Here is a 20,300-nt window from a genome sequence, read left to right on the forward strand (position 1 = left end):
GGAAGGCTGAGGCAGGAGAATCGCTTAAACCCAGGAGGCGGAGGCTGCAGTGAGCCAAGGTCACGCCACTCCACTCCAGCCTGGGACAGAGCAAGACTCCGTCTCAAAAAAAAAAAGAAAAAAAAAAAAAAACAAAAGAAAAGAAAAGAAATACATTTCACTAGCATCATATTATACATTGCAATCTTCTTGCTAATATTATAAAACCAAGAAAAAAAGTTTATTTTTACAAATACAGTTTCCACAAAACTCAAAAAACCTCTTTTCATTAATGTATTTAGGAAATATTCAGCTTCTGTTGTTTTCCAGAAACTTCTGCAAGCTCTAGAGATGCAGAAGTAAGCAGGGCAAAGTCCCCTTTCTTGCAGAACGTGGATTCACATCAGGAGACAGGTAATAAACCAATAAGTACCGGGGTCTCAAATGCAACAGCAGGTAAGCACAAGTGCTGTGAAGGGCAGAGCATGGTGAGGCGCAAGGGGAATGCTTCGTAGGACTTACACAGAGTGGTCAGTAGAGCTGCCCCTGAAGAGGAGGCATCAGCACAGAACCCTTCCTAAAGAAAAGTGAGTACATGAGGCTGAAGGACAGGTGCAAGGGAGGAATCAGTGAATGAGGGCAAAGAAGGAGCTGGGAGCCAAATCATGGGAGCTGGGTCACCACAGGTCCCGAGCAGAGATACCACATTGACAGCAACACTGCCAGCGGATTATACCCTGATGTCCAATCAATGGCAAGGGCCAAAGCATCGGGTTCCTTTTATGTTATATCCTCATTTTTCAATCTATCACCTTCTCCAAAGGCTTCCATTTTCCTCTCTGTTTTCCTCACCCCTGTGCTTGGTGTAATAGATAGTATCCGATCATCATAGCAGCCTTGTAACTCATTTTTAACTGAAATAAATACTTGTTACTTAGTACATAATTTCTCCTGATCAAAAATTCCAACAAAGTTCAGAACACTGAAGAATTGAAATTCTAATTTAGTTTTACTATTTATCCTGCATTTGAGCAGAAAAGACAAATTCTAAAACAAAAAAAAAAAATCTAGAAATATTTAGTATTCCTACAATGATAAGCTGATTTCATATCAAGGGGACCAAGGATGTGAGTCCCAGTTCCCTTTCCCTGCCCTGAATCTAGCACTTATTTCTAGAAGGCAAAAGGCAAAAGCATTTCGCTTTCAGTAGAGAGCTCATTTGGGCTTGGTTTTTCCTGAGGAAATCCATTTAGTATAATTTTTTAAAAATTAAACTTCACATGCCTATGACTCAAACTTTCAAACCACCCCCACACTCCATCAGTTATTTTCAATAATTAACAGTGGGTGATCTCAGATACAGCCTGGATGTTTTGGAAAACAGGAAATAGTCTGCTAGATTGTAGCCTCATATTCCCCTTGGAAGGCTTCTTGATTGAATGCTACAAGTTGTCAAACCAGACTGGTTCATTTGACTCCCCTGAAGCGCTTGCAGGAGAGTTACTTAGTCTCTCTCTTCCAGAAAGGAGAGCAGCCAGAATGCCAGAACCCAAACATAGTCACCCCAGGACTCTGGTGAAGGAGAACCTTGCAGGTGGCTCCCAAAACACCTCTGCTGGCAGCTTTTCCCAAGAGGAAGGCCAAATGGCCGAAGCTAAGTCAATGATTTATTTCTAACTGCTGCTAGGAGGTATCGTGCAGGGTTATGGATAAGTACCATGACTTTTCTTTGTTGTCTTTGACTTTCTGGCTTACAATTTCTGTGATCAATAGGAATAGTCTCAAAGTGAGCAATCAGAAATTTGTCCTGGTAGATTAACTGTCATGCAAGCTGCAAAACAGAGCCAGATGAAAAATGCAGAAACTAAAACCATAAAGAATGAGTTGAGATATCAAGAGAAATGGCACTGGACTACTGGTGGTCCTCAACCTCATGTGAAACTTTCAAGTATAATTAAAGTAACACATCCACCAGAATAATTTACATTATTGATAAAAGAATAGAAAGGATTAGATAATTTAGGCTTCTTTTTAGAATCATTAGAAGACTGAGCAATAGACAAAGGCCAATTTAGTTGCAAAAGTTTTAATTTTATTTTAGCTATAATGGGGACACTCTTTTAGCAGGCTATGTAAATTGCTTTAAATTCAAGCCATTGGTGAGGAGTTGCTAAAGTTGCCCGATTTCTTAGTTTGTTTATATCTGCATTTAGCTGCTATGCAATGTATTAATACATGAAGATCTAATAAGATATTAAACAGCTCTAATGTTCAGGGTGACTCCCAAATTATTTTTGAAAAATTAATATAATGGGTCATATTAGAAACCTTTCATTTTGGGCTGCAAGTAACTATCCAGACAGTCTTACAAGGTTCAGTGCTTAGAGAGACTGCCGACAAGAGATCCCATTTAAAGCGGAGGCCATGCTTAATGAACAACGAAATATGGCCCCATGGGGTAGGGTTGAAAGGGAAGGTCCTAGGTCTCTTGTATGCTCAAAATAAGGTCTAAGATGGCTTATGGGGTCCAAAATCTCAGTATGGCTTCAATGCATCCCTTACAAATTGTGGGCAAAAATTGCAAATGGACATGTTAAGAAGGTGATGAAATTTATCAAAACAAATTATTTGAAAGCCAAGGCCAATAGGGAGCTTCCAGAGCAGCACCTCCAGTCATCAGGTCACAGAACACAATCAACACCAATTCCCATGGGTTCACTTTCATGCTGAAATCATGCCTCCCCCTCTATGTGCTATCCGAGGATCACTGTGTTTCCTACAGGGAGCTCTTTCCTGTAACCTCCCAGACTCATGAGCTTGTGCTGAGATAACTTTTAAAATTGAATACTTACTGAGTATTTATTGAAAGCTGGTTTCTTTTAAGTTTGCTACAACCAATACAAAAATCAAATGGGCATCAATTCCTTGTAGAGCAATGTTTACTCTTGTTAGAAAGGAGGTGCCATTAGTAAGATAACATAGGTATTATTTTACTAGAAATAAAATAATTGTAATAAATGACATGGGTGTGTTTCATTGCAATTAGGTTTAATCATGTTTTCTCACTGTAATAAAGAAGCACCTGAGTCGACATGGAAGGCGTGATTGAGTTTTCACCATTGCCCTAAAATAGTGGGTGTGTATCTCCATTATCTTCAAGTCACTTTCAGGTTAAAACCATCCCAGAGTATTTGGTGCAGATTTACATGTTAACTAGTTCCTCAGAGAGAGGGGATGTGAGCAGTCTTAAAGAATATGCCATCTGGTGCAGTACGACTTCCCGGTAACAGTTTATCTAAATGTCATCATTTTGTTTTTCCCACACATGCCTTAATCACCTTCTTCAGGAATAAATTGACTCTCTTGTCATATATGCTTTTCCATGGTTTCTACACAGTACAGCTCTAAATGCTTATTGCCCTTTACAGGTTGTACTCCTGAGGTCTTTCCTTATTTCTTGGCTTCCATATTTGACGCAATCTCCTGTAAAGTCTTTGAGATAAAGTCTCAGTCAGTGTAAGAGAGAAGGAAACAGGCACCTGCAAGTGCTGAATGGTGACCCAGGCAGAACTCGTGCTCTACCCTAGAGGCACCCACCGTGGAAGGCTGCTTTTCTAGCATGAGGTAAAACTTCAGGGACGGGTGCGGTGTCTCTCGCCTGTAATCCCAGCACTTTGGGAGGCCGAGGCGGGCGGATCACGAGGTCAGGAGATCGAGACCATCCTGGCTAACATGGTGAAACCCCGTCTCTTCTAAAAATACAAAAAATTAGCCGGGCATGGTGGCGGGCGCCTGTAGTCCCAGCTACTCGGGAGGCTGAGGCAGGAGAATGACATGAACCCAGGAGGCATAGCTTGCAGTAAGCCAAGATTGCGCCACTGCATTCCAGCCTGGGCGAGAGAGCAAGACTCTGTCTCAAAAAAAAAAAAAAGAAAAGAAAAAAAGAAAAAACTTCAGAAAGCTGGCTTGGGGAAGCATTTCCAGAACGTGATCATAGAATCCTAGCAACTAGGGAAAGATGAGTCACTGTGAGGAGGTTGAGTCTGAAGATACAAAGCTTCGAATTTATCACCCTGCATTCCACAAACAACCACAGCATATGCTTTCTCCACTGTTTCTCATTTTGGTCACTAGAGCACCTGTTCTATGGATTGAGCAAGATGCCAGGGAGTGTCATCTCCCTCTTCCTCATGAAGCCCCCACCACCACCGCATCCAGTAGTCACCGAATCGTGTACATCAAGCCTCCTAAATATCTTTTAAGTGGACCTATTTCCCTCCCACTCCCCTATCACCACTGTAAATGTCGCCACTGTAGTGGTCTCCTTGCGTCTGATCGCTCCTTGCTGCAATCCATTCTCCACGTTGCAGAAGGGATAGTTTGTAAAATTCCCATCAATGCATACCAGTGACTGTGGAATGGACATTAGCCAGATCCAGCATTTTCAGTCCTTTGGCTGCTGCAAACTTTCTTAAATCACACTCCTTTCAACATGCAGCTCCCTCTGCCTGGAATAGCCTTCCCCTCTGTCTACCTAGGCCTTCTCCCTTCTGCGGGTGTCCAGAGAATGGTCCTCCTTTGTAAGGTCTTCCTTGAAGTCCCCTGCTTACCACCGTCCTGCTCTGTGCTCCAGATCCTTCTCTATTTTCCCTTCCACAGCCCTCCTGCCACTTCACTGTAGTCATGTTGCAACTACCCATCTTCTTTGGCACGAAGGAAGTTCTGACAGGTTTCACAGCCATGTCTGTCTTCTCCGTCACTGTATTCTCAGTACCTATTATAGAGTAAATGCTTAAAAACATAGGATGAAGAAAAAGTGGATCTACAACTAGGGACAAATTTACAATGAGGCAACCCCAAGGATGCTTATCAGAACTCTGCAGATTCAACAGTGAAAATGGCAGGCATGATAAATCAATGACTTAAAAAGAGAAGGGAGTTTACATAATCTGCAAGCACTGAGCAATTCTGGCCAAGCAGAGGGTATGGGTGGGTACAAGGTGGTGCTTTCTACTACTCACCAGGACAGCATCACTACAAGGGGAAGGCAGGTGTCCACAGGGGTGAAGAAAAGAGCAGGATGAGAGGAGGAATTTGGAAAGTTCACTTTTACATTTCTTCTATGGTCCGCTAAGTACCCATTGCCTGACACTTAGTAGGCATCCAACATAAAATTATTATTATTATTATTATTATTATTATTTTGAGACAGAGTTTTGCTCTTGTTGCCCAGGCTGGAGTGCAATGGCATGATCTCGGCTCACTGCAACCTCCACCTACCGGGTTCAAGTGATTCGCCTGTCTCAGCCTCCCGAGTAGCTGGGATTACAGGCGCACACCACCACGCCCGGCTAATTTTTGTATTTTTAGTAGAGACAGGTTTTCATCATATTGGTCAGGCTGGTCTCGAACCCCTGACCTCAGGTGATCCACCCACCTTGGCCTCCCAAAGTGCTGGGATTACAGGCATGAGCCACCATGCCCGGCCCCAACATAAAATTATTTAATGAGTGGATATAGGTTCTACAGCCTCAGAGCCCCTGCAATACCACAGTATTAGACTATCCATATGTACCCAAAGTTTATCATTGTAATACTCTAAACTCTGTAAGAAGCCTCAGAATTTCATCTTAAAGTTGAGTTTCTGAGTTAGACCACTGGCAAATCAGCTGCTCTCACTAGATAGTTTTTCTCCAAACCACTCATTCATTAATTCAAGAAACATGTATTGAGAACCTACCATATGCCACCCCCTCTTCTAGGAAATGGGGAGACATTACTGAACAAGACAAGGTGCCTCCAATCATGAACGCTATTGGAGAAGAGAGAAAACAAAAAGTATATAAACTAGAAAGAATATTATTTCAAGTAATAGGAGGGAGAAAGGAACTAAACGCAGAGGAAAAAGCAACAGATTTTACATGGGGATAGAATGTCTAGGGAAGGACTCTCTGGTGAGGCAACCTCCAAGGGGCCACGACGGTGGAAAAATTAATTCCAGGGAATCTGGAAAGAACATTAAAAGAAATAGCCTTAAGATTGAAAGCCATGCCATTTTAACTCCCGTGGCATCTGGCACAACGCCCAGCCCAGAAGTCTCACCTATTCACTCATTCAATCTTCTGTTCATTTACGACCTCATTCATTCCTTCTACAAAGGGTCAGTGAGGATTCACAGCACACCAAGCACTGTGTTAGACAGTAATAATACAACAAACGTTTATTGCTTTATTGGGAGAATTAGTGTGTATTTGAACACATTAAAACCTCCAGTATTTGACAGATTTTGACATACAAATGGCAACTTCATGTAATTCATAGATGCTATTTATTTCTAGATTGGTAAGCACAAACTATTGGGAAGTAAATAACGCATTTTGGAAACTTGATTTTTCAAGTTCTTTGTAAGAACTCTTTTACATAGCATTGTAAAAGATATTTTACATTGTACTTTTAGTTGCAAAGGAGTTTTATAAACGGGTTATAGCAAACTTTTTAAGGAACTATATAAGTTCCTTTAAGGAACTATTTGTCAACCTTATTCCATTTACAGCTAATAGTTGAAACAAATGAAATTGCATTTTCTTAAAACATATTATATTTCTAATCCTTCTCCCAAGTTAATGCAAATTTAGAAAATTTTGCATGTATTGGTATATATCACAATTCCCTTCATTTACCTCCCAATTAGAATTTCAGCCTAAGGCTACCTTTGTAATTTCTCAATAGAGAAATGTTTTAAAATATAATTTCAGATAATTCAAGGAACTGAGTTAAACAAGTTTGGAGCATATTTTTGGTGACAACTATTGGACATACGAATTGTCACCAACTGAACCATGGTCCATTCGGCCTGCCATGCCCATTCCAGAAGATACCCGAGAAGTCATTGTTGTCTTAGGCCATTCAAATTTTCGTTTGCATCTGTGGCCGTGAGTATCACACACTGTGTTTCCTGATATCTAGTGTACCAGAAATTTTCTGAATTTTCCAGTAGTCATTAATGGCTCTTTAATTCATATACTCATTCAAACCCTATGGAATTCATTTACAATGAATCATTATAATATATTCTTTAACTCTTGGAGTGATGAATTTTATAGGTATATTTACAACAGTGCTACATAGTCCTTCTACAGCTTGTCAAATGCACATCACATTCAAGAGATTTTGTGATGTCATAATGTGATGTTCCTCTTATCTCTGTTACTCATTTTGATATGGAATTGGAATATATCCTGTTCCCAGTTCACACTCCCTTAAGTTAAAGAGATACATTCTTTTTACAACAGAGCCTTATGTTTTCATCTGGCTAATTCAGAAGGTAATTCCAACGGTGAAAACTATCTCGAGTGGTAATTATTTGGGCAGTATCATTTCATGCTACTCAGAATCCAAGGAAAAGTCTCTGATATCCTGGAGACAGCAGTCTTGATTAAAGAGCCTGAGACCACTTAGCTCTTTCAGAAGACCTCTGTAACCTGAAATATTGTAGTGTAATTTGTGCCCCAGGTATAATCTAAAAGCAAAGTTAACATTCTACCACATGGTGACTAAACAAACTTATTGTATATTTTAAAATTAAATTAAGACTAGGTTTTAAGTGATCTCACCACAAAAAAAAGAAAGATAAGTAAATAAGGTAATACATATGTTAATTAGCTGGATTTAATCATTCCACAAGATGTACATGTATCAAAACAGCATGTTGAACACTATAAATATATATAACTTTTGTCAATTAAAAATAAATTAAATAATAATGAAGATGAATTCCTGTTAACAACTAGAAAACAAACAATTTGAGGGCAAGTTATGATAAATAATAGTATGTAACACTAAGGCAGACAACATTATCCTGACAAAATATGATTTGTCTTCTTCTTTACACAGATATCTTGTTCTCTTTTGACCAGAGACAAAAGAAGAAAAGTCTTGGAAACATCCTTCACAGTTTGGGGATGAATGAAGGCAGAGAAGTATTCATCAGTCTTATGTTCCTGGCAATGAAAGTCAAAGGAAGTCAAAATTGTGGCTTCTAGAAAAGAGAGGAGCTGACATAGCCCCAGCTCCACCTCCCTTGTCTCAAAGCATAAGAGCATAACTGATTATTCTCAACCTCATCCATACATAAAAAAGCGTGCTAAACATTTACTTTTGTATGACTTTAGCAACAATCAAAATAACTTCATAATTTTGCATTTCCTTTTTATTATATATAACATCATATTTTACTATGTGTTTCCATATACCTAACCCTTAGATCCTCCTAAGCCCTCTGAATGGGAAGCAAAATAGGTATCGTTACTTTTCAAATGAAGAAGCCAGAGCTCAGTGCATAGCAGGGACTTGTCTAAAGTGATGTGGGTAGGAAGTGGTGAATCCAAAAGCTGAAGTTCTGGTCTTCTAACTCATAATCCGGTGTTATTTTCCTTTCTATCTTTTTTTTTCTTTTTTTAAGATCAGATGTTCATAGTAACTGAGCAGTCTCTCAGTGCACATGGAGTGGTTTTAAAAGTCAACATTAATGTTCAATTCTGCTGCACGGTGTTGAGTATTCTGGAAAGATCTCAAGAAGAGCCTGATCCCATGCCAGCAGAGGCTCTGTTATGCATCCTGCTTTTCCTTTTAAGGCATTTTAAATTAAAGGAAGCCTTAGACACCACCATTTCTTTCTGTCCCACTGACAACCAAATCCTTTCAACGAAAGCACCAATTTGGTTTAGCTACAGATTATTTTTATCTGTTCTTGAAAGTCACATAAACGTGACCTGAACAAATACGCTCCCCTGCATGTTCTTCCTGAATTTCAAAGTTTTTCAGTAATTAAGCATTTTTCCTAGAGTGTTGCAAACCAAATAGAGTTCTGTGCCAAAGCAAGGAACGCATTAATGAAAACGAAGAATAAAAGGAAGCCAAATCCAAGTTGCAAAAAATGCTCTGCCTTATTTTGCTGAAATGAGATGCAAATATATATATATAATATATATATATATATATGCAAGCTGAGGACTAGAGTAAATATAATATGTTGATGTGAATTTTCATACTAAAATTTTTCAAGAAAATAAATATCCCATCTCAAGATATGTTTTTTTAAAAAGAATCACACAATCACATGAATTAAATGTGTGTCTTGGTAAATTTAGGGATGTTAATAATTCATTCCGATAATAGTATTAAACCAGAAAACTTTACAGAGTGAAAAAGTAATAATCTAGCAAAGAATCCTATCATTGGATTTCACCCAAAAAGGCATCAAATCCTCTAGATTCCATCAAATTTCTTTAAAAGGAAAAACACTTTTTCTTTTCAGGATGTCTTAGAAGTTTTCATTAAATCAAAAATGTGCACAGCTTATACAGTGGTTCTCCAGAAAACTTCAACCACTTGGAACACATGTTTGTGTTTAGGGGAAGACAGAGGGAAAAGAGAGGAAAGGTTGGGAAGAAAGAGATCATAATGGCTTCAACAAAATTTACAACCAGTGATTGTATGATATTGTGGCGGCGGCAGCTCCTCACACAAAACAGATGGTACAATACAGAGCTGTGTCTTAAAATGCCAAGCAACTAAAGATTCACTGATTCCATCTACTTCTGAAGCCTTTCCTAACAATCTATGCCCCAGAGTCGACTTCAGAATATTTTTACGTTTTAATTATCCCCTTATTTGAATTACTATAGCAATTATAGCTTCATACAGGCTCATTATACATTTAAACATTAATTTTATGTTTTAAAACTCAATACTCTTAGGTCAAAAGCTCACTAGTGAGATAGTGGAGTGGAACGTTAGTTTCCTATGTAACAAATGACCACTGTAACAAATTCCCATAAACTTAGTGCCTTAAAACAACTCATATTTATTCTCTTGCATTTCTGGAGGTAAGAAATCTAAAACGAGTTTCCTTGGGACAAAATCAAGACCTCAGCGAGGCCCTGCTCCCTCTGGAGGCTATAGAGGAGAATCTGTTTCCTTCCTTGCCTTTTCCAGCTTCTAGAGCTGCTTGCCTCCCTGGGCTAGGGCTTCCCTTCCATCTACAAGGGAGGAGCAGGGCATCTCCAATTCTCTCTCTGCTCCATCTTCACATCGCCTTTTCCTCTCTATCTGCAGCAAATCTTCCTCTGCTCCCTCTTATAAGGACTCTCACGATTACATTTAAGACCCACATGGACAATGCAGAATAATCTCTCACCTCAAGACCCGTAACTTAATCACATCTGCATCATTCCTTTTGCCATGTCAGGTAACATTCACAACTTCCAGGGATTAGGACAGGGACGTCTTTGGAGTGGACTATCACACCCTCCACAGCAGCAGAGGTTAACCTCTTAATGTCAATCATTTAGAACTACAGTCATCCTTCAGTATACCTGAGGGATTGGTTCCAAGACCCTTCCCCATACCAAAATCCACAGATGCTCATGTCCCTGATATGTAATAGTGTAGCATTTCCATATAACCTATGCATATCCTCCCATGTACTTTAAATTATCTCTAGATTACTTACAATCCCTAATACAATATAAATGCTAAGTAAATAGTTGTTATACTGTATTGCTTAGGAAATAACAAGAAAAAGTCTGTACATGTTCAGTACAGATAGAACCACCCTTTTATTCCCAAATATATTTGATCCACAGGTGGCTGAATCCATAGACTTGGAACCCATGGATATGGAGAGTCAACTGTTACTTTTAAATCACCTTGCAAATGAAAATATGCTTGCTAAGGTTCCTTCAAAAAGATCATTCTTAAAAAGAGTTTTGGTTAGTGTAGATTCCACTCAAACTTAATCCTCAGCTCCATGCATCATTAACCTTATGGATAAAAAATTGTGGGGTGGGATCCTGCAATTCTCTCGTTCTGTCAACAGAGAATACTAAAAAGTTTAAAGCCATGTTCCTCAAAATGTTTTTCTCCTACACTTAAATCGTATTTTCATAACAGCATTTAATATACTAAACTACATCATAGCCTAGCCTAGCCTATTCTAAGCATGCTCAAAACATTCCCATGAGCCTACAGTTGCAAAAATCATTTGGCAACTCAGTCCACTGTAGAGTATTGGACATTTACCCTTGTGATCAAGTGGCTGACGGAGCTGTGACTGATGGCCACTGCCCAGCATGGTAAGAGAGTGTCCACCATATATCACTAGGCTGAGAGAAGATCAAAATTCAAAATTTAAAGTACAGCTCCTACTGAATGTATATCATGTTAGCACCATCATGAAGTCAAAAACTGTAAGTCCAACCATCTGAAGGCAGGGACCATCTCTAGTTCGTCATGCAACGGAAACTTAAAAATGCCTTTAAAAGTTAACATAGGGCAGCTTAATTTGACGTTAAGAAATTTTCATTGAGAACCTTGAAATAAGTGTGAAAAATGCATGTGTAATATGGTTATGGCAATAGGGGAGTTGGCAAAGAACTTGGGAGAACGTGCAATGTTCCCAATTAATTTTAGACCCCATAAGAATGACACAAACAGAAGAGCTTGCAGCTGCTAACAAATGACAGATATGTTCTGTCACACCCCGGCCAGTCCAAAGGGTAATGCAGCTAACCTGATAGTCCCCGGGAATAGCAGCTGTCAGGAAGGTGCTGCTACATGTCAGATCCAGCTCCTTAAGAGCAACTGATAAGAAAAAGATGAAGAAGAAAACAGCTTAATGTCAGTGTAAAATCTGAAATTCACTTAATCATGGGATTTTAATTTGTTAACCTTCCCAAAAAATAGTATGCTAAGAACCAAACTGTGTTCCCTAGTCAAGGTGGAGACCCATAGGACATCTCACTTCTCCATCAACTGCCACCCACGTAGCACCTCATAAATGAAAGTGGGACAGGGACACTTTTCTCTTATTAAATCATTTTCTCATATCTGAATATAGTTACGACATTTGTGAAATCAGTGCAAAAACAATCTCTTTTTATTGAACGAAACATAGCCCAGGTACCATGTGCTTAATTCAATTTAACTGAACAAATTTACTGAACACCTACGGTATATAAAGCACTGTGCAAGGCACTGCTGAGTCCAATGTGAACCCTGCCTTTACAGAGGTGTGCAGACATGCACACACACATACACAGACACACTCACATGACATACATACCTCTGCACACGTATACACCACACACAGACACAGATACGCAAACACCACGCAACACATAAATACACACGTATACACACACACCACACACACACCTGCTGTCCATGAAGAGCAGGAGTTTTGCCCATCACATGGAGAACAGGGAACGTACACATGGCAAGGATTTCATAGCACCGTTGGAAGCAGCACTTAGAATCTCTAGAAAAAGAGATTTCTCTTATTTACCATTTCTACACTCTCTCACAGTGAACTACCCGTATAGTCAGCTGTGAAGGTTATAACGCCCACTGGACAAAATTTTAAAATGTAGAAAACTGTCTTCACTTTAGTATGAACAAGAGAATCCTTTGTCATCCCACCCCAGGGAACCAGTGTGAAGAGACACGACAGTTTGTGTGGAGAAAGGGGTTGACCATTTACAAGGAGAGAGCCATTTCCTAAGACGTTGCTTCATCAAAGCATCCTGGAACCCCAGAAGAGGGAAGAGTATCAAACCGCATCTGTGTGCAAGAAGCCTGGCTCCCCTCCCCATGCAACTGGAAGACCAATGAGAATCAGAAAAGCAGTGACCACGGGCCATCCTGGAGCCACATGGGGGCAGCGTCTTCTGGGACACAGGGGAAGCACTGAGAGGCATTTAGGAACCAGGGATCCATGGTCATTCTTACTTAAAGAACACACCCATTATTTACATCCTATCCCAATGGTGGCAAAATAATACCACTGAGCTGAAAAGGATCTCTACATTCTACCAAATCCTGTTATTCTCACATGGGCTTCTTCAAAAGTATAGAAGGTTGTCAATGTGAACACAGTGCACTTCATGACTATCATATCAATCCCTGAGTGTTTACTTTCTTCTCAGTGACATTAACACTGGAACATCCATGTCAAGGAAGTACGATCTGTTCTTTTCAAACTAAAACATGTCCAGTCCGGAGTGGGTGGGAGCAAGCCCACCTTGTGGCCACTACTGAACTACCAAAACTCCAACAGAGAAACCAATTCTGTGAAGCCTATGGGGAATGCCACATTTTTTCTAAAGAACCATAAATTAAGTTTAAATTCATGTGGTCTGTTCACTAAATGTCTTTGCAGAAGGAAAAGGGAATTGGCTCCAAGGATTGCAGTTGCTCTGAAAGTGCATGTGGCATCAATACTCACTTCTCTAAGTGGGGTCCCAGGACCTGTGGCATCAGTATTATCTGGAAACAGAAATGCAGACTCTCAGGTTCCACCTCAGAACCCCTGGACCAGCTTCTGCATCTCCACAGAATCCCCAGGTCCTCTGTGCCTTTAGGTTGGAGAATCAGTGGAATAAACACCAGGAGTGCAAACAAGATCAAAGAAGTTACCTGTTGTAGTTCACTTTTTCAAATAATTGACTGAAATTAATTTTTATAATTAATGAAGCTAGTGATGATTTGGAATCCCTTGACTAAGAGAAGGGTTTTAATGTAATTAATCTGCAAAATGATCAGTTTTTGTGCATCACTAAACCTATGAAGTTTATAAAGATTATTTTCCTAGCTGGTTATGAAGAAAATAATGTCACAAAAGCATCTAAGGGCTGTGCCTTACCAATGAGCCGACCCTCTCCAGTCTGCTTTCCTGTAATCATAGTGACTCAATTTCTAGACTTAGAAAGAAAAAACACAGAAAACTAACATAGAGGATTGTTCTCCCTTCTGGTCACGGTTTATGGTAGCAACAGGTGAAAAAGGCCAACAGAAGCAACGATTTGCCTCATCACATTAAAAGAAACATTTGCTTTCTCTTCCAAAAGCGTAAGTAGTAACTATGGAAACCAGACAAAAACGTTGAAAATGACTTGCAATTCACAAAGAGCAGAACAACTCTATTTCACCCACCAAAAAACAAAAAAATTAACGATGAAAAAATCCACCGAAACCTTCCCCAAGAAGAGCTGGATCTGCAGAAGACATAATGTGAGTGCTTTGCTCATGCACCATCATAAATTGTTTGATTTGCTACAGAATTGTTAAATTATGTTTTTACAAATCGGTTATTTAGCTGTGACTCCATTTAAATCTACAATTTTATGTGTCCTGATGATAAAATGGGCCCTTAGCTGAGCCAGCTAATTCCTCAGGTAAAAGGCATATTCTTTTGGCAGTAAATTAACTTTGGAAGGTCAGTAGGTGGCCTATCACCAATGTTAGAGATTTAAGAAATGCATATTTTGTCTAAAACACTTAATTTACACCTAAGGAAGCTGAATGAATGATCTCAAAATTTCCAGCTATTATCTGTTTACTAAGTTGGTCCTCTGGATATCCTATTTAAAGGTTGAAATAAATGTACACATGATTTATGGAGAGAAAATAAAGCAGGAAAACTTCACCCAATTATGCCAACCTACTCACTGCCCAGAAATTTCCATCCAATTCCACTGCCATAAGCAACTTCTCTGTGTGTTCTCCCATTTATCTGTTTGATGTTCCTGTATCCCTCCCCCACTTTCAGATCAGATGTTACTTCCTTTTCAGACGAGCTTGTGCACTGCTTGATCTTAATGGAACCCCATAAGGAGAAAATGACCACTTTATTTTAAAAAACAGAGGAGATGCTGACTCAAAACAGAAGAGAGTAAAGAACTTCCTTAAAAATATGAATCTCAGTGATACTTTTATAGCCCAGAATGACATGTTTATCTTTCACCTATTTTTTTTTTCACTCCAAGCAAGAGCAGAAAATTTTTTTTTAAGCTTGATAAGCAAAGACTCATTTGGGGATACCTGCTACCTGAATTATCACTATCAGGGTTAAATTAATAACTATGGCATATTATAAAGCCATAAATATAATTTTGAGCTCCACTCTTCCCAGCATATTTATGTGAGTTTTTGTCTCATTTTGTGTGTTTGTGGTGAGTTTTCTTCCTTTCTCTGTAAAACATGGAGCTGCTAAGGCATCAGTCTGTTATTGTATACTGACGGAGTGTGGAAATAAATGCCAATATCATTTGCAGAGCCATCCTGGTTGTGACTTTTTTTTAGGTGAGTATCCCACTTTCAACTAAAACCTAGAAAAAGAATTCTAAAACCTTTTTCCCAATTAAATGTTGGCACTCATAACACATTGTTGATGGATTGACCAAATTAAAAAACAAAAAATCTTAAGTTTAATACTGTTTTCTTCAGATGGCATCAACAGCGAAGTATGTCCCTAAACTTTTCATTGTTCAATGCTGGGTTGACAAGCAAGAAAAATCTTTTTATCACCAAAATGCAAAAACAATCTGAACTAGCTGCTGTGTCCAATCCAGCTTCGTTTTAATTTGGTGCTAATTCTCTAATTTGCTCATTTATTTTCTCTAACCACATAATTAATGCTGAAGAAAGTCTTTTACAGCTTGCCACTGAGCCCTCCATGTCTTAATAGAAGGAAAAATTCCTTAGATATGTTTCCCATCACCATGCATGTGCTGAAGCCAAGAACTAGAAAACCGTAACTGTGAAGTATTACGAAATCCACACAATTAAGTGCTGAAACCAGCAAGGGCCAAAACCACTCTGAGACCCAGCTCAGACCAACCCAGCCTGCCCTTTCAAGTCTGTAAATTGGATCGCGGTCCAGTGCTTTCTCTTACCTCATCAGCCTTCCTTTTTCCTTTTGCTGTAGTGGTATGTTTTCAATGAACTCTGACATATTTCTCTGATTGAAAACCATTTTAATACTCCTAGACAATGTGCTTCTGAAACATTGTCACAACACATACAATAACCAAAAGTTTAGACCTGTGTAAAGCAAAGTGAAAAATGGAGTGTCATTGAATCCCACAATTCTCGAAATACAAGTTTATGGGAAAAGCCAAAGAGAGCCAAGTGATATAGTTTCCAGCCATGGCACCTCAGGAAGGCCCCTCACCTGGCCTAGCAGCAGCCATTCCCACCCCCAAATTGTAACCTCAGAGGTACAGAACCATTCTCCAAGTGCTGTGACCTTTCCTCCTACAAATCATTCATCAGTCCAACATTTCCTAAGCACCTACTCCAGGCCAGGCACTGTTGTCAGGACTGGACATACAGTGAAGGAAGCAAAGGCTCTGCCTCGTGGGACCCACACTCCACGGGAGGAGGTAAACCACCAAATACATGAGTAAACCTATGGAGGATGATGGAGAAGAGAACAGAGGAATGGCGTGCTGGGAATAGGGCAGGGAGGGAGTCGCTGAAATGGAGTGAGGGGAACGTGAGCCTCTTGAAGGACAGGGCACTGGGGCGGAGTCAGAGGGGCTTAGAAGGTGAGGGTGGGTAGGGGGAGGACAGGAGCTCAGAGCAGGGAGGTGGGAGAGCAGGCACTGCTCACCAGCATCTGGGCCTATTGAAGATAGGGATTGGTCTGGGATTGGTCTGTTATTCCATATTTTATACTCTCCCAGCCAGGAGATCAAAGTCAGTGGCATCACTGGTAAGTCCTGTCCATAGCACTCATCCTTGATATCATGATGATGGCGCTTTATTTCTGTTTCCCTCCAGAAAATCCTAGCTCCAGGCAAGTCATGAGAAAAACCTCAGACACAGCCAAACTGAGGACATTTGACAAACTACCTGATCAGTCCTCCTGAAAACCATCAAGGTCATCCAAAACAAGGAAAGTCTGAGAAACTGTCACAGCCAAGAGAAGCCTAAGGAGACAGGCAGCTAACTGCAATGGAGGGTCCTGCACAGGATCCTGGCACAGACAATGGACATGAGGGAAAAAGTGAGGAAGTCAGAATAGAGCGTGGCCTTCAGTGAGTAATGATGCATCAGTGTCGCACATTAGCTGTGGCCAATGTACACACAAGTGCAAGGCGTTAGCAATAGGGGAACCTGGGCACAGAGTGCATAGGAACTCTCCAAACTGACTTTACAACTTTTCTGGGCATCTAAGACTATTCTAGAACATTTTTTAGGCTAGGCCTGGTGGCTCACACCTGTAATCCCAGCACTTTGGGAGGCTGAGGCAGGCAGATCATTTGAGGTCAGGAGTTCGAGACCAGCCTGGCCAACATGGCGAAACCCCATCTCTACTAAAATTTAAAAAATTAGCCGGGCGTGGTGGCGCACGCCTGCAACCCCAGCTGCTCGGGAGGCTGAGGTAGGAGAATCACTTGAACCCAGGAGGTGGAGGCCGCAGTGAGCGGAGATCACGCCACTGCATTCCAGCCTGGGCAACAGAGTGAGATACTGTCTTAAAAAAATAAAAATAATAAAAATAAAATGAAATGTCTTTAAAAGTTTATCTTGTTAAAAAAAGATGCAAATGCTCTCTATCTAGAAATAATGATTCCAGAATAAAAACTGCAACAAACAAAAAAGGTGGATGTGAAACAACTGTACAGGTGAATGAGTCAGGATTTAACACCGCTCGGTCTATTCCTGCTGAGCGGTTTATGAAATCTGCTGGAGCCCTCACAGCTGGCCATTCCATTTATTTGAAACTCTGAATGATTATGTTTTTCCCTATTGGTCCCAGCTCTTTCTTCCAGGGCCACACACTACAAGGAAAACCTCCTTTCCTGTCAGCAGTGCCTCAAGTCCTCAGAGAGAGCTTTCCTAATAAAGCACGCGCTCCCTGCAGCCGTGTTCTGAGCCTCCCTTCACCCCACAAATCATGCCTGGTCTGACTCCAAGGAGGTGACCTAGACACCTTACAGGGAGGAGGGGCAGAGAGGACAGCACCTGCTCAGTTCAGGCTGCCTGTCACACCTGTCCTCAGGATCCTCCCTCCCTCTCTTTAGGGGTCCAGGGTGCCACTGAGAGGCTCCACCTGATTTCTGAGGTCCAAGACCGTCCTGGGTTCCAAAACAGGGTCTCAGACAGCCTCCCCGTCGCATAGCCTTCGCCTGCATGGATTGAACTTAGCAGCCCTTTCTTCTTCCCTCCTCTGTTACCTCCACAGCCTGACACCATGGTGACACCCACACATGACTCAAGAAAGGATGTTGACAACTTCCATGTAGAAAGGCAAGATCGGGCTAATGTAATAAATAATCTCATACCTTGGAAGCAGTCAGCCTGCACGTACGAGACAGAGAAAATGAGGCAGAGACAAAGGGCGTAATTGCAAATAAGAGGAGAAGTAGGAGGGGAACGGTGGCTCACACCTGTAATCCCAGCACTTTGGGAGGCTAAGATGGGCAGATCACCTGAGGTCAGGAGTCCGAGAACAGCCTGGCCAACATGGTGAAACCCTGTCTCTACTAAAAATACAAACATTTGCTGGGCATGGTGCTGCGTGCCTCTAATCTCAGCTACTCAGGAGGCTGAGGCAGGAGAATCGCTTAGGAGGCAGAGGTTGTGGTGAGCCGAGATTGCGCCATTGCACTCCAGCCTGGGCAACAAGAGCAAAACTCCATCTCAAAAAAAATAAATAAATAAAAAGGAGGGGTAAAGAGTATGTCTCTTTACTCTCCTGTATGTGTTTAACTCCACGCCCTCCAAAATGAATGATTTTAACCTGGAAAGTTAAACCAAACATTTGAGGCCCACCATAACTATGGAACTAACAATATTTAAAGGAATTTGAAATTTACCAAATTTGGTCTCCAATGACAAGTATGATTCTGCATCTCCTGTTGACATGGAACATTTCAGTTCATGAGAGAACTGGTCTTCAACTGAAATTGAATGCACACAGCCTTTTATGCACTGAGATAGACGTGGCTTCCCTTCTCATAGCTCTTCATAATGTTATTAAACAGTTTCTCTAGGGCCATTTTTACTTCTCTAAATGATGACGCACATACATATTTTGAGTTTCTGTGGTCTCTTTTTTTAACAAGATAAAGCAAGTAGTAAGTAATAAAGGTGGTTTCATGTACACAGCTAATAAGAGTGTTTAAAACCTAATATCAGCTGAAGAAATCTTTTCCTTATTTATGTAAAATGGGAATTAACTCATCCAGTCAAGAGGAAAATGAAATCAACAAATGAAACGTACACAAGAGAACTGTAATAATTGCCAAACTCAGCTCCGCAGAGAACAATGGGATTCCAGCAGAACACAGCACCCGGGCAATGGCGGAATGTGTGCATCGTTGCCTCCTTTTCCAGAGCCTTATCCTATCACAGCCCTGTTAGAGATGTAAGCTCCTGGTCTCTCTTTGAAGGGTGTGGTTTCAGTATCTAAAGTGATTATCTTACTTAGGTTCATGAATCCCATAAAAATGCAGGAATTGTAAACATTTAAAGTGAAAATCCTTCCTAGGATGTCTCATATCTTAGCTATAATTGCAACCACTCCATATTGTGTAAAATTGTTTACAAAAATTCAAAAAGCCAAACAATTAAACATATTCTAAGTGTCTCTCAATTGCCATACAAATCTATAACGAGGGACAAAGGGAAGGTGACATGACTCAGAGTCTCAGCAGTGAGTCATCAATCATGGCAAAATAATCACCCTCCTGGGTGAACTCTCTTTGTCAACAGTTGGTCTGGAGGAGGAGGCATACAGGCATACAAAAATCAGCAAGTTCTTAAAAGCATGCAAAAACTGAATTCTCTGGACAAGGTCCAGTGCAAATAAGTTGGGATGATCCTCAGGAGCAGAAAACAACTCTGTCAACAAGGTGCCACCTCCAGGTCATCCTCTGTGCTCCGCTCCCTTACAGATGGTGTACAGGGTCAATTAGTGTCTGTCCCCTAAAAGTTCACGTCCACTTAGAACCTCAGTGTTATGTTATCACTATGTTATAGAGCTTTTGCAAATAGAGTTAAATTAAGATGAGGTCTAATATGCTTTAGGTTCTGTGTCCCCACCCAAATCTCATGTCAAATCATAATCCCCACATGTTGAAGGAGAGGCCTGGTGGGAGGTGATTGGATCATGGGGTGGTTTCTAATGGTTTAGCACCATCCCCCTAGTGCAGTGTTGTGATGGAGTTCTCACGAAATCTGGTTGTTGAAAAGTATAGTTCTTCTCCCTTTGAGTTGTCTCTCCTGCCTCTATGTGGAAAAGAGTGCTTGCTTCTCCTTCACCTTCTGCCATGACTGTAAGTTTCCTGAGGCCTCCCCAGCCATGCGGAACTATGAGTCAACTAAACATCTTTTCTTCATGAATTACCCAGTCTCAGGCAGTTATTTAAAGCAATGTGAGAACGGACTAATACAAGATCATACTGGATTAGAGTGAGCCCTAATGCAATGACTGGGGTCTTCATAAAACGGCCACATGAAGGCAGAGACAC

General features: G+C 40.7%; 1 protein-coding gene and 1 long non-coding RNA gene across 9 annotated transcripts in view; one reads left to right on the forward strand and one right to left on the reverse strand.

The window, feature by feature from the left end:
* SEMA5A (semaphorin 5A) overlaps positions 1 to 20,300 on the reverse strand; it is a 511,043-nt gene that overhangs the window by 469,075 nt on the left and 21,668 nt on the right. The window lies entirely within an intron of this gene.
* On the forward strand, positions 7,226 to 13,979 carry SEMA5A-AS1 (SEMA5A antisense RNA 1). Its single transcript, NR_109935.1, has 3 exons — positions 7,226 to 7,303; positions 7,873 to 7,958; positions 12,465 to 13,979. It is a non-coding gene; the product is annotated as an SEMA5A antisense RNA 1 (long non-coding RNA).

Source organism: Homo sapiens, chromosome 5 (genome assembly GCF_000001405.40).
Source record: "Homo sapiens chromosome 5, GRCh38.p14 Primary Assembly".
In the NCBI taxonomy this organism is placed as follows: Eukaryota; Metazoa; Chordata; class Mammalia; order Primates; family Hominidae; genus Homo; species Homo sapiens.